General features: G+C 42.4%; 1 long non-coding RNA gene and 1 pseudogene across 1 annotated transcript in view, besides 1 other annotated feature; one reads left to right on the top strand and one right to left on the bottom strand.

Moving 5' to 3' along the window:
• LRRC52-AS1 (LRRC52 antisense RNA 1) overlaps positions 1–23118 on the top strand; it is a 105314-nt gene extending 82196 nt beyond the window's left edge. The window contains exons 6-7 of the long non-coding RNA NR_026744.2: positions 17353–17611; positions 22845–23118. This is a non-coding gene — a long non-coding RNA (LRRC52 antisense RNA 1). The remainder of the gene's footprint in view (positions 1–17352; positions 17612–22844) is intronic.
• Positions 1616–2235, bottom strand: PRELID1P7 (PRELID1 pseudogene 7; annotated as a pseudogene).
• Positions 22714–22935: a silencer, noted in NCBI's record as "fragment chr1:165446262-165446483 (GRCh37/hg19 assembly coordinates)". NCBI's record gives its function as "represses an EF-1alpha promoter that drives an FKBP-Casp9 reporter gene in an ReSE screen in K562 erythroleukemia cells {active_cell/tissue: K562}" and the evidence as "EXISTENCE:reporter gene assay evidence [ECO:0000049][PMID:32094911]".
• Positions 23119–25121: the final 2003 nt, after the last annotated feature.

The raw sequence follows: 25121 nt of genomic DNA, 5'->3' as shown, positions 1-25121 counted from the left end.
TTAATTAACCTGGGGAGATATAATAACTTTAAAAACATCTATAAAGAAAGTTTTAGCAAACAAATGAGATTTACTATTTGCATCTTCTTGTTTTAGAGACAGAGGCTCCCTCTGTCACCCAGATTGGAGTGCAGTGGCTGATCTTGGCTCACTGCAGCCTCAACCTCCTGGGCCCAAGTGTTCCTCCTGCCTCAGGCTACTGAGTAGCTAGGACCACAGGTGTGTGCCATCACACTCGGCTAATGTTTTGATTTTTTTTTGTAGAGATGGGAACTTGTTGCCCGGTTGCCCATGCTGGTCTCGAAATCCTGGCCTCTAGCAGTCCCCCCACCTTGGCCTTGCTGTTGCTTAATAACGCTCATATGCTTAGAAACAATGTGTTATCAACAAAGGAGTGAGTTTAGATAGAAAAATGAAGAGGTGCCGGCCTGGACCTTAATTTCCCATGGACTGTATTTCCAGTCAGTGGCTCAGAGAGGCTCCACCCAGAAGGCTGGGATTCTGTTCCTGACACAGTGATGCCTGAGAAATAGTTGAGGCCTCCTGAAAGACTGGCTAGTTGATCTTGTGAGATTACTCAGTATAACTCATCTCTCATTGAGCTTTGTATCTGGAGTGGAGAAGTGTGTGGGGAAGAAGAAAGTTCTATCAAGAATTTTCTCCAGAGGTAGAATAGCACAGACAGTGATTCTCAAATGTGTGGTCCAGTATCATCAGCATCACCCTGGAATGTGCTAGAGAAGTAAATCCTCAGGTCTCACCCAGGACTACTGAATCAGAAACTCTGGGAGCAAGGCCCAGCAATCTGTATTTTACCAAGCCTTCCAAATGCTTCTTCCTGCTCAGGTTCAAGAGCTGCTGGGATATAGCAGTTAAGAGATGAACCCTGCAGCCTGACTTCCTTTGCTAGAATCCTGGCACTGTTACTTATTCCTTGTATGTCTCTAGGTAAGTTGCTTGATCTCTTTGTGTCTCCGTTTCTCCACCTGTAAAGTGGAGATAATGATAGTACCACCTTCAGAGAGTTTTAAATAAGGATTAGATTAGGGAGTACACTTAGAATAGTGTCTAGCACATAGTAAAAGCTCAATAAATGTTAGCCGTTATTATTGGAAGACATGGTGTCATGGAAGACTGTGGGAGTTTCTCTCCCTAGCCACCCTCTTTCCATGAGAACCCCATGAAGCTTTCTAATGCAGCCTTCTCTGAGGAGTAGGTACAGGCTGGAGTAGCTGGGATAGGGTCAGAACTAATGCTCAAAGCCTTATCTGAACACGTCATATATGTTGCCCTAGAGGGAGCCTTAACTTTTGAAAAACTTTGCTCTCCTTCTTAGCATTGGCAAGACTATTTCCTGACCTAAGGGGCAGAAGGTTGATTCCTTGCTGGATTTTTTGGGAGAAACCCTGAGTGTCTAAGAGAATGCAAGATTATAATGAAATTCACACAGACATCTCAAAATCAAAATCATTTACAATTAACTTTAAATATTTTTAAAAATTTCTTTTGGGGGGCTGGAAGTTGATTTTTTAATAATAACATACAATGGGGAGAGGGTAGAGGAAGTTGGCTGAGCTGTCTGGGGTGCTGTGGCGTGGTGAGCTGGCTACACTAACTGCAGCTGCTGTTTGGGGGCTCCCTGGATGGCTGGGTCTTTGGCCTTCTCTGCAGCTTCCAGTGCTGTCTCCTTTGCCTTCTCCTTGGGTCCCTTAGCTGTCTCAATAAGTGTTTTGGAAGGGGCCACACTGTGCAGCTTGGCCAAGATGTATTCAAAACCCTTCCTAGTCGTGATCACGTTGGTTTTGAATTGGGTGAGACCAAATTGCTGGACAGCTCTGGAGATGGTTAAATAAGCTACAGGAGACCCAGGCTTTCCAGTGGATTTGGGTCCAGGCGCTGCTGTCAGAGTTCCCAGAGTAAGCGCGTGGTTCCTCTACCACCACAGCTGGGTGTGGTTGATGTTCCAGGTGAGGTGGTCATGTCTGTTTCCGTGGCTTCACAGTAGAGTGTTCCAGGATGGACACCGAGCGAGCAGCACTGGCAGGAAACAGTGGCTCAGCCCAGCAGGGCATCTGCTGGTCTTGGTCAGGTTGCCAGGACAGGAGCCTCTGCTCAAGGGTCACCACCCTGTGTACTGTGTTTGCTGTAGGGATTTGGGTACCGCTGTCATTAGGCGGCGAACACTTGGACCCAGGACCTCTGGAGCACACTCTGGCCCAGGAAATACTTCACCATCATCCTGGCTGGGATGGGGTTGGCACCCACTCAGCATCAGAGTGCAGAGGGTGGGGAGTATGTGGGGTCAGGCCAGGCTAGGCACCTGCTCCCGACCAGGCCCCACAGTGTGCCCAGGCACCGGCACGGTCAACTTTAGATTGTATGTTTGGGGACAGAGTCCATACAGAACCAAATGGCTACGTGATGTTATAACCCCTCCCAAAGTTTGGAGGTCACTGTTGCAACTTTTAAATGGACTGTTTTCTCCAGAGTTGCTATAGACACATGCATCAGCACAGCCTCAGAACCCAGTTTCCAGTCGAGATAGTGGACATGGTGATTCCCCTTCTTCCAAGGTTTGAAACTGTCCCAGGATGAAATACAGCTTGACTGAATTAAATTGTTGTCAATAAGATTTTTAAGCAACCCACCATATCAATTGGGGTTTTACTTTTGGCAGCCCCAACAGCCAAACTGACTCATCCATATGGCTGATCCATTAAATAATGCGCAAGTAGTTGATGACATGACCAGAAAAAGTGATTTATCTGGGGAAAAATGTTTGGAATTGGAAAGGGCTGGGATTTAAGCTTAGGAGCTCACAGGTTTCAGTCTAGGCCTTAGTAGCCTCAGGGTTCAGGCAGCCACTTTTCCTGCTTTTAGCAGGGTCATTGACTAGAAGGATAGGATAGAACTGGAACAGGCTGGGTCAAGGTCTTTCCAATCAATGTGTATCTTCGGACCCATGCAGGCACGTAGGCTACAATGTGCAAACTGGTGTTCTGAAGATCAACCCAAGAGCCTTCCATCTCCCTCTCTTTATCCTGTTTCAAGTCTGAGAACCTTTTGAGGCCAAAGAAAATGAATTTGAAAGCTCAGACTTAGATCCAGGAGTCAGTGTGAAAGCATGTGCCATGGAGATGCAGCCCAGCATTGCAGGAATGTGTTCTCTGAGGACCAAGTGCTTTTCTTATCTCAGTATGTTTTCCTCTTATCCCACCCCTCCCATCTGACCATCTCTCCTCATTGAATCTCCCAGTGAATTCTCATGTTGCTTTGACAACAGCTGGAAAGTGGGTGTGGGGGATGGTGAAGTGGAAGACTGGAAATACCACATCACCCTGTGGTAGAATTGCTGCTGAGATCCAGAAGGGAGCGCAGCCAGAATGAGATGTTAGCTTGAGGCTTGGAAACAGCAGTGTGGGATGATTTGCCCTAGAATTGAGGGGCTTCTCTTGCTCCTTTTCCTGATCCTTGGAATCCTCAAGGACTCTGAAAATAAAGGATATATTTCAGGGGACAGAGCTGGTATCTTTCCAAAAGAAAGGCAAGCTGATGGCAAGAGGCTGAAGCCTCCAGTCACAGCATAATTTACGATGGGGGCTTATCAGCCTGAAGGAAGCAGTTTGGGGGTGGCCTGTTTGGGTCTCTCCCCACAGGAATGCTCTGCTCAATCCTCCTGCTACTTGAAAAATGAAGTGTGGTGGACTAGTGGGGAGACCTCGTAATGCTTGGATGATCACACAGATTTGGATACGGAGCCTGGTTTCAGAGCATAAGAATGGACCCAGGCAATACCACTTAGGGAGTAGAGATAAATAATGGCAATTCACATAAGAAGATCAAACATATGACTTCAAATAACATGTTTTTTCTCCAGCTGAATTTTCTAGAGTTGAATGAGGGTCAGATTTGCATCCACGTATCTTTCCTTAGCTCAGCTCATAACTTTCTATGTTTTCTCCCGAGGGGGTATTAAAAACAGAGCTGCTTCACATGAATGTAATGGTTCCCATTCAGAACCCTGTCACGACTTTGTCTTTTCTCTATCATCTTGACAGGAAAATTATGCTCCATAGTTTCAAGGTCAACTGTGAGCTATTTGGGCTTGGAAATGAAATGAGACCCTTCGAAAGCTTGTCCCTCTCTTCATTCATATTTTGCTGATGTTTAATAAAACTCAGTTATTCTCCAGCCTGGGGTTGGAGGTCAGGCAGCCATAAACAGGCAGCCATAAACCTGTCCAGAAAATTTCATTAGGTAGAATTATTTTTTCTTTTTTTTTTTTCCTGCTATAAAAGGAAGTGTGTGTTTGTGTGTGTGTGTGGTTTTATTTTTATTTTTGGTTTCGTTGTTTTGTTTTTAAATTGTTTGCTTTTGCTTTGTGTTTTGTTTCTGGGGCTTTTTAGAGCTGGTCTTATAGCCTGAAGGAGTGCCTGGAAATGAATGTGTAAACAGTAGTGGCCTCTCTCCTTGGGCCCCAGCCTGCTCCTTTAACTTTCAGGCTCAGAAGCTGGAGTCCCCAACTCCCCAGGGGGCAGACTTAGCCTTGCCCTCAGCATTGGGGTTGATTTTATTCCTGGCTGAGGGAATGTCAGGGCACTAAGGTCAGGAGTGGGATGACTTGCTGCTGTCTGGTCATGCTCTGATCTGGTGCTCTCCATCCCGAATCACACCCTGGTCATAATGATCTGTCTTCAGCCCTCTTCCTGTTTGTCCTCTCTGCAGCACTGGCCCTGTTGACCATCACCTGCTCCTCCCTTGGTTTCTGGGCAACCACTTGTTTCCTAGTTCTCCTCCTACCTCTTCTTAAGTCTTCCAGCCTCCTTGGCAGGCTCTCCTCTGCTGTCCCTAAAATGTTGACATTCCCTAGGGCTCTATCATTTGTCATCTTCTCTGGATAATCTTCCTTATACCTGTAACGCTAATCACCAAGTCTAGGGTACTGGCTTCCAGCCACTGAACTACAGATAAAAGTTTCCAGGCTTTCTGGTCACGTCAACTGGTGTGCTCTTTAGTAGCTGAAACTTAATACATTTCAACATGAACTCGTTAACTTCTCTCTTGTCTTAGTCCCTTTGAGCATCTATGACAAATTATCATAGGCTGGATAGCTTATAAGCAATAGAAATTTATTTCTTACTTTTCCGGAAGCTAGGAGGTCTTAGATCAAAGTGCTGAGAAATTTGCTGTCTGGTGAGACTTGCTTCCTGGTTTATACATGACTGTCTTCTCACTGTGTCCTTACGTGGCAGAATGGGCAAAGACGCTCTCCAGGGTGGTTTTTTTTAATAAGGGCTCTGATTCCATTCACGAAGTCTCTGCCCCATGACCTAATCACCTTTCAAAGGCCCCACCTCCTAATACCATCACACTGGGGGTTAGGATTTCAACATATGAATTTTAGGGGGACACAAACATTCAGTCTATAGCACCTCTCAAGGTAGATCTTCTTGTAGTTTTGATTTTGATTGGTAGACTACCACCCATCCAGTCCCTCAGGTCAAAATCCCAGGGTTGTCCTAAACAATTTATTTTTCTTCATTCCTTGTGTTCAATTAATCTCATATTCTAATGTTTTTACTTCAGAAAATTTTCTTGAATCTTACCTCCCCTATCCATTTTCACTGCTACTACTTTGGTCCAAACCCCCATCCTCCTTCACCTACAAAAATACAATATTATGATTCTTAAACAAGCATAAGCTCAACAAATAATAAATGAATGAATGACCTATCTGGTACCAGACAGACTATTGTGAGAGTTAAATGAGGTACTTTATGGAATGCACACTCAGTAAAATGATTGGCACATAGTTGGGGCTTAATAAATGAGTTATTATACATTATATATAGGAAATATTTAAAAGCATGGACTTTGGACCTAGGCAGCCTGAGTTCAAATCCAAATTCCATTATGTACATTTATTATGTATATGATCTCTGTGCCTCCATTTGCTCATCTGTAAAATGGGGATGAATATAATAAGGCTGTTGTGAAGATTAAATGACTTATTTATGTAAAGCACTTAGAACAGTGCCTGGAATATAGTGCATGCCCAATATGTTAACCGTCACTATTATTGTTATTAGTTTCCTGTTTCCTATCTTTTATAAGTCAACATGTCGGCTTTATTAGAGGAAGAAAGTTGAGTTCTTATGCATGGCACCCTAAAATTACATAGAGAAAAAATCATCACCTAGTTTTCCCCAAGTAAAAGTCATGTCTATCAGTTATGAATTTCATAAATGCTGAATCACAGTCTTTTTTCATAGTACAGTGTTTCTAATAGCCCTTTTGGGTGGGTGACCAGCCATCTTGGTTTGCCTGAGACAGTGGAGGCGGGCGGGGGCGTGGGCAAGGGGGTTCAGTTTTCTGGGATGGTGGACTTTCAGTGCTAAAACTAGAACAGTGTTGGACAAACCAGGATAGTTGGTCATCCTGTTTTTTATGAACTTCTGAAGTTCATCTTCCAAACATAATTCCTCAAGCATATTTCAAAGATGAAACAAAATATAAGAATTAAGGTGAGGGAGTTGAATGGAAGGTTGGGGACATAACCTAGGAGTCCTCACGTACCATCTTCAGTTCTTATCCATCAAAATGTCCACTTTAATGGGATTTCTGGGACAGATGAAGGATTTTTCTTACCGGTGAAAAGAACAACTAATTTCTGGCATTGTTCTGAAACACTGCAGCTCTCTTCAGCGTAGTGTCTGTATTGAGCAGCCAGCTGAAGTCCAGTTTCTCATCCCTCAGGCCTTCTCCTCTTCAGATGGACTGCAGGGGGCCACGAGACTCCAGTGGCAGCCGCTCAACTCTGAACACAGCCACTGCATAGAGGGTTCAGTGAAGTGAGTGGGGTTGTTACTCCCCACCAAGCAGTGAGTGGCTTTCTGCTGTTCCACTCCAGAGGCCTCACCTCCTGTGTTTTTAAACTCCAGTTTCTGTCTTTCCCTGTTGGCACCAAACTTATCTTCATAAAATATAAATCAAATCACATTATTTCCCCATGAAATTTGTTGACGCCTGTGGCTAGTGGGATCGGTGCCAAATCCTCAGCTTACTCTGTAAGATCTTTCACATTCTGGCCCCCAGCAACTCTCAGCACTTCTCCTGGCACTCCTCAGGTGACCTCTGCTTTAGTAACCCAGGACTCACCAGTGTTCCTCAAAGCTCACTATGACTTTTCATTAAGTCAAGCTTCTGCATGTGCTATTTTCTCTGCCTTGCAAACCCTTTCCCTTGCTAGGCAAATTCACACTTGTTCCCACATAAAAGATGATCTCCTCTGTGAAGGTAATCCTTGGCTCCCCTCTGGGTACCTATAGCACTTTGTTCAGACCTTAAAGAAGTTACTGCTTTGCATGAGAACACATTTGTACATCCAACCCTCCCTGGAGGCTTTGAGCATCTTGAGGGACTGGACCGCTGGTGTATTCTTCTTGGAATTCACTGTGTCTAGTACAGGTCTGTTGAATGATGGAATAACAGCAGCAACAAACCCACATCCACGACAACAACAGTTAACCTTGACTGGGAGCATTTATGCTGTGCTGAATGCTTTGCTAAATGCTTTACAAGCCTCAGCTCAGTCCTTTAAGGAAAGTGACACTACTACCCCCATTTTTTGGTGAACGTAAGTGCTAATTTGGTCAGGACCTGGAGTTCATCTTTGTTTTGCCTAGGGAACAAAAACTTATGAGGCTTACACATATCACCAATAGAATGTTTAAAAAAAAACTTTAAAATACTGGAGTATAACTTTTTAAATCCATTCTAACATGTTAGAGGCTCTTGCTTTCATATGCAAAGAGCTGATGTGCCAATCATAAATTCAATCTAACTGCTAAAGCAATCTCCAAAAAAAGAAAAATTGTTTAAGACGTTTCCTTAACCCAATGTCACTTTTAGCTTGTATCTGAAAGTTATAAAAGTGTTTCCTTGGAAAATATCCTTAGTGAAGGTGTTTAATGGAGCCACCTTGGCCTTGCCCTGGTTAGTATGAATCAGGCTTAAGAGCCATCGATGGCTATGCCTCCTACTCATTTCCCAGGCAATATCTATGTTAGCCTTTGCCAATGCCAGTGCTTTGTACCACATGCCCTGCTTTGGTGTACAATTTGAAATGCCGAAAGCACTCACTGAAAACTTAAGCCAATCCACAAAATATGGCTCTGAGAATCCTTCCCATAATGGATTCAGTTATAGTTTCATCATTCTAGGTAATTATAAAGGATAGTAAAGATAACTATAATTTCTTAAGACCCTCTTATTTTTCAGCTGTGCATTGCCTCAAACCCCATATTCCATTTACAGAGGAAGAAACTGAGGCTCAATAATTTGTGTAATTTGTCTAAGATCTCCCTGCAAGTGAACGTAGAACTTGGGAATGGAACCAAGATTAGTCTTCTAAGTCCTATGTTCTTCACCAGTGAGCTACACAGCCTTACGGTGCAGATAGCACAGCGTCTGTGGGCATCCAACACTCGAATAGTTTGGAAAATCATCAGCCTGTGTTCCCCAAATGAGATCTGGTGCCTCTTCTTGGCCTCAGTATTTCTAGGGGAATTCCACATTCTGTGTTATCAGGGTAGGTTAATCCTAAAGGTAACTGGGTACTCGTTCACTATTCTGTAGGGTTGGAGATTTCCTTTGGACATTTTCCTTGGGCATGGTGATGAGTGGCACCAGGGTAAGGATGTAGTGGGCGACAGCTGGCATAGTAGCCTAAGAGCAGGGTAACTGGCTGACCTGCTTAGTGGGCCATGTTTCAATCTGTCCCTGATCTTTTCCTAAGCACTCTGTTTCTATCTTATTTTGTTTCTACTTCTGGCATGATCTAGACGAATCTAATGATGAATAATGACAAAACTCAAGAAATGTTCTTATTACTATGATTTTTAATCTTGAAAATGAGGATTATGTGGGTAAGCAGAAACTCCAGGCCAACTCCATGTAAAGACCTGGGTGGCCCTGCTAACTCTTTCGTATACTGAGAAAATCTTGGGTTTACAAAAATATTGCAGCAATTTGAAAATAGTTTTCTCCAGGCTATAAAATTTACCTAACTAAAACCAATCTAATCCCTTGATCTAAAGATCAAACTTTTTGCCAGGTATAGTTTTACATTGTTATTTTAACCTTCAGGTGGGAAAGCAATTGTTTCTGTAGAGAAACTGTCTCCATAACCAAAAGGAAGTGCGGGTGGAAGCAATTAACTGGACAGTTCGGTCAATTAACTCAGAAACTTACTGACCAGAGTGTTCAGAGCTACCTACCTTTATTCTGGTTTTAATTTTGTAATTTATCAGAGTCCAGAATTTCAGTCTGGATAACTTTTATTTAAACACTTGATTTCTGAAACTGGCCTTGAACTAGTGCTTCTTTGGACTTTTTTTTTTCTCTTCTCCCTTTGGTTTGCTCTCGACAGCTGGAATGAGAGACTGGATGGCGTTGAAATGAAATGCTGGAGCCATCCATCCATGTGCTTCCAGGGTGGCTTCCTGGCTGTGAGAACACAGTGACCCTGTGAGGCCAACATGGACTCGGTTCTCCTGACATAACATGGCTGGAGGAGCTCCAGCTCTGGGATGTTATCTTGCTGTTTTACACTGGTGGTTCAGCCAGCCCATGGGAAACTGAACTTGGGCTGGGAGACCTGGCAGCAAATCCAAACTGAAATAAGAATCAGCACTTCGAGTTCAACTGTGAAACAAATGTGGGCCCAAGGCCTAAATGCCCGAAAGACATAGGGAAGGGTTGAAGTGGAATAAAGAAAGCTTTTGGTGACACTATGGGAAGGGCTATTGAGTATCTTCTCAGGACAGTACAAAATGTCAGAGGCACAGCATATTTCGAAACCTATTTTTAAAGCTGCTTTAGATTTTTTAACTTGATGGATAGATATATTCATTTTTTAAAAAAAGAAATGGTGACCCTCTTAAGAGGCAAAGTACGAGCCTCAAGTGTTGTGGGATGTATCCATCATTGGTTACTAAGTTTTCCAATGGCTCAGACACTCCCAGAAGCGAAGACTCCTGAGCCAAAGGAAGATGAGAGCTGAAAGGAGCATCGAGCTCATCCAGTGCAATGCTTCTCAGCTTGTGCCCACTTTGGATTCACTTGGAAATATTTTAGAAATACTGATGCCTGGGCCCCATTCCAGACCAGTTAAATCATACTATCTGGGAGAGATACCCAGAAAGTGGTATGTTTTAACACCTCCTTAGGGATTCTGCTGATCAACCAAGGTTGAGAAGAATCAAACTAGACTCATTTTACATATGAAGAAATGGAAACCCAGATATTGAGATAAAAAATGTTGCCCAAGTCACGTAGCTAGTGTCAAAACCTGACTCTTAATAAATGCCCTTATGTCACACTAACTTGCCTCTCTTTATTGTGGTTTTGCCATAAATTAAAAGTATACTTGAAAATGTTAGTTTACAAAGTAATTTTAAGAAATGGATTTCATTTTAAGGAAAACAGTGATTCAATGGCCAATACACTGATGCTTTCTGCATGATCTTCAGACCAGTCTACATGTTTATTATGCTTGGGCCTTTGAGTCAAACACTGGCTCCTTTTCTGCTTCTCCATTGTCAGCCTAGCATGCTTGAATTCTGTTTCTCCTCTGGAAACCTTGCACACTACTTTGATTCACCTTGTTAATGGGAAAATGGAAAATACTCTCTACATTTTTTTTTTTTTTGAGATGGAGTCTCACTCTGTCACCCAGGCTGGTGTGCAGTGGTGTGATCTCGGCTCACTGTAACCTCCAACTCCTGGGATCAAGCGCTTCTCTTGCCTCAGCCTTCCGAGTAGCTGGGATCACAGACTTGCACCACCATGCCCAGCTAATTTTTGTATTTTTAGTAGAGACTGGATTTCACCATGTTGGCCAGGTTGGTCTTGAACTCCTGACCTCAAGTGATCCACCTGCCTCAGTATCCGAAAGTGCTGGGATTACAGGCATGAGCCACCGTGCCTGGCCCTCTCTACGAATATTTAGCTGGTGATACGTTTCTACCAGAGAAACATTTTTTTACATAACACTTCATGTGGGAGCCATGCGTCCAAGAGAGACATCATTTTGGGTGAAGGGCACATCCAGACATGTGCCAGCATTACCCTACAAGATACCTGGTTATCAACTAAATGTCTACATTGCATGTCAGCAACCATCCATGGAAACTTACTATTTTTTATCCAGCTCACCCTGTTTGCCACATTCCAATTAAAATTCATAGCCAGGCTTACCCAAAATACCATTTAATCACATTTTATAGACAAAACTTCAAGGTGTTCAGGTCCATGTATAAAAATTTAAATGTCTTCTTGTATTAAGAAAAGGAACAATCTATGATCCAAATTTCAAGATATTTAGAAAATTGCCTTATCCAGACTAATGGTCCCCAACTCTGACCACATTAGACTCACCTGGGGAATTAAAAAAAAAATACATTGATGCCTGGGCCCCACCCCAGAGATTCTGATAGAATTGGTCTGGAGTGGACCCAGAGCACTAATATTTTCAAATGTTCCTCAGCTGAGTCTCACAGGCAGCTTGGTTGAGAACTGTTGCACCTGACTGTAAAAGAGGGCTCTGAGCTGGGAACTTTTTTGCTGTGACCTTATTGCTCTAGCATTTTTATTTCATTTTACATATTCAACAAATTTATGTTTAAGAGGGAAATATTTTTAAAATACTTCTTTGGGTATCTTTTCTCCCAATAATCCATACACTCTTCTCTTCACCTTGCAACCTCATTATGGCTAAGGCAGAGATTTATCACCCCTGGGAAGGAGAAGCTGGGTTCTGCCAAGAACGGTGATTTGCAACCCTAGATGCCCTTTAGAATCACCTGGGGAGCTATAAAAAAATTGCCAGTGCCTGGAATCCACTTCAGACTAATTAAATCAGAATTTGGGGGGATGGGCTGAAGGATTACTACTATAAAAGTACATCAGGCTTAATACTTTTTTATTATGCAGCTAACATTGAGAACCATGGATCTAATAAGAAATGACTTGTCAACTTAAAATAAGATTCTTATTTCTTAAAATCTCTCATGTTCTAACCCAAACTTTTAAAATTCAGAGAAAATAATTTACTTACCTATAGCTGGAGGTGATAGAGGTTATTGACAATATGATTTTATGATTTAATCTAATATTTATTGAACGCTTACTATATGCAAGGCAGATGTAATTGAAAACACCTCCTGGAAACTTTTTTGTTTGTTTACTTTGGGTCAGCTAGAAGGAGCCTGGGGTGAATGTATGAGTCTAGGTCCCTGCAGGAAAGAGATGGCACACTCAAACTGGAGATATGGCATAACAGTGCTAGATAAGAATTTGGCTTTGATACTAACTAGCCACACAGCATCCTAATGTTATTTTGGAAATTTCTGTTCTGATTTTCCTAGATATAGAGGTGTGACTTGGGCACCATGGAGGTAAAGATGCTCCTGAAGATATTTAGGAAAGTAGCTAGGGATGGTCTCCAGAATAAAGAAGAGATTTCCATTCATTCAAAAAATAATTTATTGGGTGACTATCATGTATAGACACAGGGCCAGGTGTTAGGAATCTAAAATAAAGACAGAATCCCTGCCCTCAAGGAGACTAGTTTCATGGGGATTCAGGAAAACACATAGAGGTAAATAGTAACAAGGTTTACCTGGAGGTTGTGGAGTCAGCTTTCTGGAGTCTCTTGAAAGTGGCTCAGTTGCTTTTAAAGAGAAGGATTTGAGTATCTGCCAAATATTTGTGAGTTGTGCATGTGTGTGTTTGTATGTGTGTGTGTAAACATACATGTGCATGCTTGTACACACATTCTTCATATAGAAAGAATTCTTACTGGGGTATAGTGGGGGAGGAACGAGGGAAAATCTAGTAGCTTTTTTCTTAACATTTTTTTCTGGTGTGAACATAAGCAGAAACTCAACACAGCACAGGCTGCGAGGGAAGGAAAATTCATCAAGTCTAAACTATCTTCTCTCTTCTGGCACAAAAGTAAGTGACATCAACAGGATGTGGGGTTTCAGGATGAGCCTTGAGTCCGATGAAATGAATTAAACCTCACAACTCTTTGGAACAGGAACCTGTTTTCATGTGAGTTCCCCAACAGCTTTTGGGGGAGCCTTGAAACAAATGGATTTAGCATCTGGAGATTTTTGGTAGGTTTGATTTGCTTCTCTAACATCCGGTACTTTTGCAAAAATCTTTGAACACAGAAAGCTAAACCAAAGCCCAGGAGGAGGCAAGTGTCCAAGAACATATGGAAGCCTAAGAGGTGAATATGCTCCTCTTTGCCTCTGTCATGATGTACATCCTTTCAGCCTTGACTTTTAGCAAGTGACATTTAGCAGAGATGTGAGGGTCTGTCACTCTGACATTTGACAGCTATGAAGATTCATTCTCAACAGAGCAATAGTTACGGGTTCAAGGGGCAGGCTGGTTGGCCTATTCTAGTTTTTGTGAGGGAGAAACAATACCTTGGGAGATCGATTCTCTAGTAATATGTATTTGGTTGTTGTTCAACCTCAGTGAGACACAGAGACTGAGATGGGTCCCAGAAGGAGTAGGGAAGAGGGACTGAAGAGGGTCTGAGTGAGGGATGGAGGTGGTTGTTGGCATTTATTTAGGAGCATTGCAGAGTTGCCTTTTAAAGATCTCTTTAAAGACAATAGAAAGGAGTAGAGACCGATCCCTTTATAACGTGGGGGTTTAGCATTATCTCATTTTTGATATGCAGAAGGATATCTCATTATTGTGTTGGATGCCCCTTAAATGCTTCAAACTTTCTTCCTGAATGTACCCAGGGCAATTTTGGGGGTGTTAATGTGGCCTCGCAGGCAAAGGGAGATGAACAGGATGACCTCTTGCGAGGTAGTCCTAGCATCTCTAACCCTACGGTTGTCAAGTCTCTGACACCATTCTGCTTCTGACGTGTCTCTTAAACTTCAAGTGACCTATATTTAGGAGATTACGTAAAAAGTATTGAAAGCAAATGGCCATTCTGCTCTAAGGTCAGAGTTCTGCTGTGGCTGATAATGCTGCTTTGATCTCCAGGCCCCTGCCTGTCTGTATCTATGGTATCTGTCAGCCAGCTTCACTCTGGACTTGACCTTTTGCTGGCCTAGACCTGTGGTTACTGTCAGGGGTCTAATCTCTTAGCATGTCACCTCTGGCAATTTTTTAAAAAATCCCCAAATCTTACAATTCAGATATCTCAGATTTTGCTTCAGCCCATTGCAAAGTCTTTTCGAAATTAAAAAAAAAAAAAAAAGAAACAAAACAAAATAAAACAAAAACAAGAGGGCAAAGAAATGGTTTTAAGAGGAAATTTCAACAAATGATAAGATCGATGATGCAGTAACAGCAGTTTGTTTGGCAAAAGCCTTATAGAAGGCACATAGAATCATAAATGAATTCGAATAGAGCTGGGTAAAATTGAGAGATTATTTGTTCCAGCACCCTGTTTGGGGGCAGGTGACCCTCCAACAATCGAAAATAGATGCTTATCTTTTGTCCTTTTGAAAATTTTTGGATGTGCTTTCATTTGATTTGCTCATTTTGATATTTCATAACCCTGGTAGCCAAAAACTGCTTCCTCATATTCAGCTGGAATCTTTGCTACTTAATTAAAAAATCTATTTTCCATCCTGTGGCAATTTCGGTTATTTTTTATGGATCTCTTCCAGATGTGTACATGGTTTTCACAATGTGGTGAACTAAGTTGGACATGATACTCTGATAAGGGTCTTACTGCTGTAGAGTATATTGGAACCACTGGGCTAGGATTCAGAAAGATTCTAGCTCCTTGCCTGCCAGGAACCAATGATTTGACCTTGGACAAGCCACTTCCCCTGTCTGGACTTCATGCTCTTCATCTCTAAAGTGAGAGTATCTGACTACATGATCTCTTAAGATTTCTTCCAGCTCTGATGCTTATGTTCAATAATTTTGCTAAAATTAACATACCTCAGTCAATGAATCTGTGCTTAGCATGTAATAGATGGATAATAAATGTTTGCCAAACTGAATTAAATCATAGGAATTTCCACTGAAGTTTCCTCTCAGTATGTACTAAAACTTTTAATCACCCTGGTGTCCTCTGTCCCTTCCAGGAAGGATGTATGTCTTTTATAGAAATCAGAACCAGCGCACAGTGGTGAAGTTGCTGTCTTCCCAAAGTGTCACAGGCACCAGCATTGGAGGAGTGAGGATTCTCAGGTTTCACAGACAATCAGGCCCAAACTGTTTCTAGTCACTTCTCTACTGCCTTAGCCAATCTATTAAAATGCCTGTGTGATTCTGGAAAGAAAACAAGTGCCCATGAAAATGAGGTTATAAATACATCCAATTATAAATATATCCCATTAAAAATAGATATTGACAAGGAGCTCCAGATAGAGTTGTCCTCAGCAAACTGAGCTGAATAGAACAAAGTGGCCTATTATCCAGAAAGCAATAATACTTTCTTAAGTGATTCCTTAATAATATCTTTGGAGTTATATATGCCTCATAACTAGCTACTAAATAGTGTTGGTGGTCAGTTAAGAATTGGACTTGAAAGGTCCAGTAAAGATAGAATTAGGACTTAATACATATTTTTCCTCTCTATGTCACAGGACTTATAAACCCCAGTGACTATATTGCTGGGAGGACTGAGCTGACTTTCGAAAGTGAGAGTGGCATGCAGTCCTTAACATCTCTGGTCTTTAACAACTCCCATGGATACCCCTGGCCTGGTGTGAGAGAGAACCACAGACCTGGAACCAGACCTAGGCTTCTACCTTGGGTCCTGCATGCCCTACCTCAATGATCTTGGTGACATGGCTTGGCTCTTTGTCCCCACACAAATCTCATGTTGAATTGTGAACCCCAGTGTTGGAGATGGGGCCTGGTGGGAGGTGATTGGATCATGGGGGTGGTTTCTAATGGTTTAGCACAATCCCGCTAGTGCTGTCTTGTGATAGAGTTCTTTTTTTTTTGAGATAGAGTCTCGCTCTGTTGCCAGGCTGGAGTGCAGTGGTGTGATCTCAGCTCACTGCAACCTCTGTCTCCCAGGTTCAAGCAGTTCTCCTGCCTCAGCCTCCTGAGTAGCTGGGACTACAGGTGCGTGCCACCATACCCAGATAATTTTTTTTGTATTTTTAGTAGAAATGGGATTTCAGCATGTTGGCCAGAATGGTCTCGATCTCTTGAGTTTGTGATCCACCCACCTCGGCCTCCCAAAGTGCTGGGATTGAGTTCTCACAAGATCTGGTTGTTTGAAAGTGTGTAGCACCTCCCCTTTTTCTCTCTTTCCTGCTCTGTCATGGTAAGACGTGCTTGCTTCTCATTCGCTTACCACCATGATTAAGTTTTCTGAGGCCTCCCAGCCACACTTCCTGTACAGCCTACAGAACAGTGAATCAATTAAACCTCTTTTCTTTATAAATTACCCAATCTCAAATAGTTCTTTATAGCACTGTGAGAATGGACTAATACACTTGGGGAAACTACTTAACCTCTTTTGAGCCTCAGGTTTGCATTAACAATTAAATGAGGTAATATGTGAGAAAGCAGCCTAATATAGTGTCTGGCAGGTGGGAAAACTCAAATGTTAGTATCTTGTAGTAATGGTCTGAGGTCAGGTTGTGATGTAGGAATGAAACAGCAGTGATTTAGCTGGCATGTGTTGAGGCCCTCCCGGGACACCACATTCAAATTGTATGGGAGCTCTTTCCCCAGTGTTTTGTCTGCTAGGGTTGCCATGATAAAGTTTCACAATGGGCAGCTTAAACATGAGAAATCAATTTTCTCACAGTTCTGGAGGCTGGGAGTCCAAGCTCAAGGTACCAGCAAGGTTGATTTCCTCTGTGGCATCTCTGCTTGGCTTACAGATGGCAGTCCTCTTGCTGCCTCTGCATGGGGTCCTCTCTCTGTGCACTCTTGTTCCTCGTGCCTCTTTTTGTGTCCTCATCTCTTCTTTTTATAAGGACACCAGTCACATTGGATTAGGGCCCACCCCAACAGCCTCATTTGAGCTTCATCACCTCTTTAAAGGCCCTATCTCTATAGTCACATTCCGAGGTACTGGGGTTTAAGATTCAATATAGGAATTTAGGCAGGGGGATACAAATCAGTCTATAAGAAGACCCAGGAACTCACTGAGACTACACGAGGAGCTTAAATCACAGGGCTGTGTGGTTTTGCAGTGCAGCCCCGTTTGTAATGTATGAAATTCTATGCTCAAAGCTAGTCTTCTTCCTTCCCCCCAACTTCCTCTTCTTTTCCTGGTAGGAAGACTCAAGCGAACATCTCCATTTTGACAAGTATATATTTCTTCTTTCTTTGCAGGGATTCTTCACCCATGGTTGCTTAGGTTTATAAGCAAGGAAGCTGAATGAAGTCCCTTTCCTCTCTGGATGAGCCCCTGGGTTTCTGGAAGAGTCTTAAAATCACCCCTAAATGGCTTCCAAGCACTGAAGCCCGAGATGTTAGCTGGCCTGTGTGAGGCCTTGAGACAGAATGCCACAGCCACACCCCAAGGATGCTGAAGGGGATTTCCCTCCTCTGTGGTTTTTCTCCTTTCTTCCCGCAGCACTCCTCCTACGTGGTGAGTCATCCAGAACTCCAAACACACAGCCAGCTGTTTGGAACACAAGAAATAACCATAGCCAGAGGCATCTTGGGCCCAAACTCTTCTCTCTTTTATTGCTCATTTCCCAAGTCACTTCCTTTCCCCTCCCCTACTTTCCCTCCCCGTTCTTCTTAGGACTTAACACAGGTGTCTGGAGACATTGGGTCTTTGTCAGTCAATGTCAGACCTCTTCTAACATTGATATTTATCAAAGTAACGGTTACATCATAGCCCTCTTTCATATACTCGGAGTATTGTTCCTTCCTTCCCTACCTTCCTTCCTTCCCTTCCTTCCTTCCTTCCTTCTTTCTTTCTTTCTCTCTCTCTTTCTTTTCTTTCTTTTTTTCTTTTCTTTTCTTTCTCTCTCTTTCTTTCTTTCTTTCCTTTCTTTCCCTTCCTTCCTTGCTTCCTTCTTTCCTTCTTTCCTTCCTTCCTCCCTCCCTCCCTCCCCTGTCTCCCCTCCCTCCCTTCTTCCCTTCCTTCCTTCCTTCCTCCCTCCCTCCCTCCTGTCTCTCTTTCTCTCCTTCTCTTCTTTCTCTCTCTCTTTCTCTTTCTTTCTTTCTCTCTCTTTCCTTTCCTTCTTTCCTTCCTTCCTTCCTTCCTTCCTTCCTTCCTTCCTTCCTTCCTCTCTCTCTTTCTTTCTTTCTTTCTTTCTTTTTTCTTTCTTTCTCCTCACTCTGTCACCCAGGCTGGAGTGCAGCTGGAGTGCAGCTGGAGGGATCCCAGCTCACTGCAACCTCTGCCTTCCCAGTTCAAGCGATTCTCCTGCCTCAGGCTCCAGAGTAGCTGGGATTACAGGATTGTGCCACCACACCTGGCTAACTTTTTGTATTTTTTAGTAGAAACAGGTTTTCGCCATGTTGCCCAGGCTGGTCTCAAACTCCTGGGCTCAGGCAATCCACCGGCCATGGCCTCCCAAAGTGCTGGAATTACAGGTGTGAGCCACTGCGCCGGCCTGCGTTTGTTTCTTAAGGTGTGATCACTTTCCTTGTTGAATCTAGAGTATTAGCTAATATCTAGAATGTTAGCTTCTCATGAACAGGGATCATACTGTATCCTCCATGGCCAATGCTTTACACATAGTCATGCTCAAACACTTTTTGAAGAAAGCAATGAAACTTTTAAGAAAAATATTATTCTCTGAGAGGTATAGGCTTGCAGTTAGCTTTACAGAAACTTGAGGAGTCCGCTGAGTTATGTAAACCTGGAGTCACAGTGTGCCACTAGTACAGGTGTTGCCAGTTACTCTGGTGATACCATTTCAGACACTAAGCTTAGCCACAGGTGTGGTTTATTTTAAAATATACATATAACTTCTTTTGATACTAAAATGTAAAGCAGATAATCACATAAATTCATTTTTATAGACATAAATGCTTAGGTAAGATATACCACCACATTAACTAGATATGATTTTATCATGTTTATTTGTTGTGGCACATGTGCACCATGGAATACTATGCAGCCATAAAAAGGATGAGTGCACATCCTTTGCAGGGACATAGATGAAGCTGGAAACCATCACTCTCAGCAAACTAACACAGGAACAGAAAACCAAACATTGCATGTTCTCACTCATAAGTGGGAGTTGAACAATGAGGACACATGGACACAGGGAGGGGAAAAACACACACTGGGGCCTGTTGAGGGGTGAAGGGCTAGGGGAGGGACAGTATTAGGAGAAATACCTAATGTAGATGACGAGTTGATGGGTGCAGCAAACCACCATGGCACGTGTATACCTATGTAACAAACCTGCACGTTCTGCATATGTATCCCAGAACTTAGTATAATTAAAAAAAAATAAAATAAAATAAATTGTGACAAAAATAGATTGGTATATAATATAGTTACCTATTGACTCTCACTTTCATTTCTACAGAAAGAATAGGTTAATTCTGATATGTAATAAAAATCATCCATATGAACCTTAAAATATATATAAATATATTATATATTTAATATATAAAAATATATATTTATATATATATATTTTTTTCCTTCTTGTGGCTTCAAAGTTAGAAATACCCTCTTAGATACTTGCTCTGATATTAAAATCCCTGAAGTTTCACTGAAGTTAATGCCTTCAAGCTTTAAAGAGCAAGTTTAAGAACTTCAAGCTCTTAAACAGGTGGGGGCAGTGGGCTCTGACCCCATCCTAACCTTGCTGGCTCTCTTTCTCTCCTCTCTCTGCCATCAGAGGAAGAGGAAGGCAATGAGGAGATCAAATGGATCTCAGTTTTTCATCTCTGACCTTTCCTGCACTCCTTTCTGCTTAGCAGAAATAAAGATGGGGTACACATGTGAAACTTGTACTTATTCATTCAACAAATATTTAATATGAACCTACTGTGTGCCAGACATTTTGCCAGGTTCAGGCACTACAGAGATGAGAAAGTCACAATCCTAGCCTGCAAGGAGCTCATAGTCTACTGGGGAGTAGAAATGCAACTGAATCATTCTTATAGACTGAGATATTGGAAATATGTATAAAGGACTATGAGAGTACTGAGAAGGGGTTTGCCTCTTAGTCCAGGGTTTCTGTAGATCAGAGGTTCTCCAAATGAGGTCTCCAGACCAGCAGCATCACCTGGGAACATGTTAGAAATGCAAATTACTTGGCTCCAGCCTAGACCTATTGAATGCGAAGCTCTGAGGTTGGGCCCAGCAGTCCTCATTTTAACCAGCCCTCTGGGGATTCTGATGTTCACTCAAGTTTAAGAAACTCTGCCCAACCCTAAAGGATTTTTACAGTTGAAATCAAGTTAAAATGAACACTAGTAGAAGATTAAGGAGAATAAAGGCAAACAGAAATGGATAGACTGATAACAAGTTACAAATAAACAAGATGGGAAAGCTAGACTCAATCTTGTGCTGCTGAGTCAGAGTCAGAGGTATAAACTCATACTGATTTTAGTATATGTAGGCAGATAGATATAGGACATATAGATATGTGTATATGGGCTGGGCACGGTGGCTTATGCCTGTAATCCCAGGACTTTGGGAGGCCGAGGCAGGTGGATCATGAGGTCAGGAGATCGAGACCATCCTGGCCAACATGGTGAAACCTCATCTCTACTAAAAATACAAAAATTAGCCGGGTGTGGTGGCAGGTGCCTGTAGTCCCAGCTACTTGGGAGGCTGAGGCAGGAGAATCGCTTGAACCCGGGAGGTGGAAGTTGCAGTGAGCTGAGATTGTGCCACCGCACTCCAGCCTGGTGACAGAGCAAGACACCGTCTCAAAAAAAAAAAAAAAAAAAAAGATATGTGTATATGTAGGTTAGTACACATGAATATATTTCCTACCTCTGTCTGCTGAGAGGTCCTAAATGCAGTGATACCCCAGCAGCAATAAGCATGCCTAGAAGCCAGATTTTGGTTTCTAATTATTGTTCTCTGATAAAAGAAACTTAGGGTCCTTTGGAGAAATGGCAGATTCTAGGGGGAGCAGGAATACAAGATAAGCCTGGAGCATCTTATAGTTTTAGAACCCCTAAGGAAAGCAAAGAAGTTCTAAGGAAACAAAAAATTAAGGTACATCAAAAGGACACAGAAGCCAACCTGAAGGAGTTCCCAATGGCCAGAGCTGGAAGAATTAAAAAAAAAGAAATTTTAAATGTTATTTCAGTAGTTTTAGGGGTACAGGTGGTTTTTAGTTACATGGATAAGTTCTTTAGTGGTGATTTCTGAGATGTTAGTGCACTCATCATCCAAGCAATGTGTGCACTGTCTCTTACCCCCTCTCAACCTTCCCCCACAAGTCCCCCAAATCCATTATATCATTCTTAGGCCTTTGCATCCTCATAGCTTAGCTCCCAATTATAAGTGAGGACATACGAAATTTGGTTTTTCATTCTTGAGTTACTTCACTTAGAATAGTTGCTGCAACACATTACTTCATTCCTTTTTATGGCTGAGTAGTATTCCATGGTGTATACATACCACATTTTCTTTATTCATTCATTGGTTGATGGGTACTTAGGTTGGTTCCAGATCTTTGCAATTGTGAATTGTGCTGCTTTAAACATGCACATGCGTGTGTCTTTTTCACATAATGACTTACTTTCCTTTGGGTAGAAACCCAGTAGCAGGATTCCTTAATTGAATGGTAGTTCTACTTTTAGTTCTTTATGTAATCTTTTAGTTCTTTAAGGAATCTCCATACTGTGTTCTATAGTAGTTGTACTAATTTATATCTAGATTACACCTAATTACACCACCTAGAGCATGAAGAATTTAAGCAATAAAATAAATGATGATAGGCTTGTATTATAACAACAACAACTATATACATATATATATATATATATATATATATATATATATGTTATATATTCACTAGCCCATGCAGGCTTAAATAAGTGATTGAATAAATAAATAAATGAGGGAGGCAGGGACAATTATTTTTTACAGAAGAGTTTTCAATAGTATAGGTAGACCATTCCTCCTTCAGAAAGTGGAGCTTAAATCCTCTTCTCTTGAGTGCAGGCTGGACTTAGTGATTTATTTTCAAAGAGTAAAATATTGAAAGGGACAAATAGTAGCTTTATGGAGCACTCTGGCAGACATCATCTTAAACAAGCAATGGGATTAGCATCACTAGTGATGTCATACACCCTGGCTATGATGATGAGAAGCATCACACCTCTGTGGTATTATCTTTAAAAACTCATAACCTCAGTCTAAGCATGCAAATCCATCCAACAGACTCACATTGGGAGATATTCTACAAAATATCTTACCAGTACTCCTCAAAAGTATCAAGGTCATAAAAAAGAAAGACTGAAAGACCGTCCCAGACCAGCAGAAACTAAGGAAACAAAATGCAATATGGTACCCTAGGTGATTCCTGGAAGAGAAAAAGAACATTAGTGGGAAAACTTGTAAAATCCAAATAATGTTGGTAATGTAATAGTAGTATTATATCAATGCTAATTTCCAGTGTGATAAAGAAGCCATGGTTATATAAGATGCTAGCGTTAGGGGAAATTGAGTGAAGTATGTACAGGAACTTTCTGTACTATATTTGTAATTTTTTGTAAGTTAAAAATAATTCCAAAATAAAAATTTATTAAAAAATAAAGATAGCTTGGTGACGGCAAGATAGCTTGGTAAGGCCTAATATTACGTGCTGCCTTGATATCTAGTGCAACTGGAAAGGCTTCAAATGACCTAACTGCAAGTTCTCCTCTCTACTCCACTCCTGCAGCTAACATCTTCTAGTCAAACAACTCTCCTTTTCAAAGGGACCAGGCACAGTTTCTGCTTATCCCTGAGTAGCAGTGTTCAGTTTCCTGCCAGCCTGTGGAGTTTTTCAAACAAGCCAATCACCTCCTCCTGTGGGAACTGAGAAGCACCCCACCCTCTCGATACTACAAAGCCCCTGCTTGTTCCCTAGTGCAACTCCCATGTGGTCCTGTGGAGCATATGGTATCTTCCTCTTCTGGGCAGTGAGCATATGTGACTAATAAACTATCTATCTCATCTGTTCAGTGCCAGGTGTCATTTGTTCTGCCATCCCATGACCTAGGGTGGGGATTCCTTCCACACCAACAGGGTGAATGCAAGGTGATTAAAACAAGAAGCCTCTTCAGGATCTATATCCTAGGGAAAAAATTAAACAACAACAACAAAACAAGAAGCTTCAACTCTGACCCTGTATTCCAGATGTGTTACAGGGGCCTGTCTCCCCAGAGCCACTCTCCAGGTCAGAGCTTACCTCCCCTTGCTCAGGGTTAGGAGCTCTGGGCAGGAAAAGGACATCATGTTAAAAGCCAGAGATGAAGAGGGGAATATGGTAATGAGACAAAGGAAGAGAAGCCAAGGAAATAGAAAAAGGAGGAGATGACACACCTTGAAGGCTCCGGCCAGTGCTTAGGATATGCCAAAAAGCATTAGGGTGCTTTAGGCCAGTGCCACAAAGTGCCTGGCATGTAGTCAGTGCTCAATTAGTATTGGAGGAGTCTGAAATTTTTACTGCCATAAGGCTTGGAGCAGACTTCAGTGGAAAGGGACTGGATCCAAGCAGTACATCAAGAACTTGATCTAACCATGCAATGGGCACTGCATTGGGTGTTACAAGCTTGGAATGTTGTTCCCAACACACCATCTAGCTGGATGACCTTGGACAAATTCTTCAGTCTCTCTGAGTGTATATATTCTCAACCGTAAGTGAGGCTAATGTAACCCATGTGGTTCATACTTACCAAACTGGGTGAGACCCAAATATAATGTTCTATGTGAATGTGCAAAAAGTGTTAAATATCATAGCTTTAATAAACATATTAAACACACTGACTTATGGGGCAGAAAGATTATGAGAGAGTATCAGAATAAGGATAAAAGATGTGGCTTCTGTTCTCAAGAAAGGTGTAACCTATTGGGAAGGAGCACACACAGAGGTCACAACAGTTCCAGCAAAGTCAGAGGTTCCATGGAAGAGGCGTACACAGCATGCAGCAACAGGGAAGACTTGACCTGGGGATGGATAGAGATTCCACTGAGGAGGTATGACATGAATTGGACCTTGAAGCATGAGTAATTATAAAGTATTATGTGGGGTGACACCAGCAGGATTGGAATGAAAAGACTGGTTCAAATATTAGTCTCTATACTTACTGTTTCTGTGACACTGGGCAAGTTTGACTCTTTCTGTGTCTTAGTTGCCTCGTCTTCTAAAGGGGATAACAATATCTATAGTTGTGATGAGAATCAAATGGAAGATACAAGTTAAAGTGCCCCACAGGGTGCCTGGCCTGCAGTAGGTGCTCAGTTAGTGTTGGCTGAGTCTGAAGTTTTTATTGTCATAAGGCCTAGAGCAGGCATCCCTGGATGGGGGTTCAATCCAAGGAGCAGATTAAGAACTTAGTCCATCCTTGGAGATTTCCCAGACATCATTAGACTTGTTCTGAAATACTTCCCATCAGCCACAGAGCCTTCAGAGCTACCTTGGGGATAGAGAGTGGGCCAGGGAGTGAGGCCTGGACAGCTGGGTTCCCAGTGATTACAAAATGAGGTGGGGAAGTCAGCCTCCCTCATGTGCTGTCCACGCTGGGGACTGGGCAAAGGAGGCAGGCACTGGCTTTCTGACCTGGCAGTTATCGGCAAGCATATGGCAGCTGGCTTCAGTGGCTGCCACCTCAACAGGTGGTCCACTTAGCCATCACCTGCCATCTTAAGCTCAACACATCCAACCTGAACTCCTGATCTTCCACACCCACCTGCTCCGTCTAGCTTTCCCCATTCAGTGGACGGCATCTCCATTTTTCCAGGTGCTCAGGCCCAATTCCTCAGAGCTGACTTGGATCCTGTCTCCTTCTCCCTCTCTCCCTTCCCTCTCCCACAGCCCACCTTTCAGGAAATCCCACTGGCTCTCCTTTTATAATGTAGCCAGAACTGACCACTCCTCAGCACTGCATTGCTGCCCCTTGGTTCAGATACCATGGTCCCCACACCTGGAACACTGCAGCATCCTGCTGGCTGGTCT

The sequence above is a fragment of the Homo sapiens genome, chromosome 1 (assembly GCF_000001405.40).
Source record: "Homo sapiens chromosome 1, GRCh38.p14 Primary Assembly".
Lineage (NCBI taxonomy): Eukaryota > Metazoa > Chordata > Mammalia > Primates > Hominidae > Homo > Homo sapiens.
The sequence above is the reverse complement of the archived record's forward strand: the minus strand, read 5'-3'. Positions and strand labels throughout refer to the sequence as shown.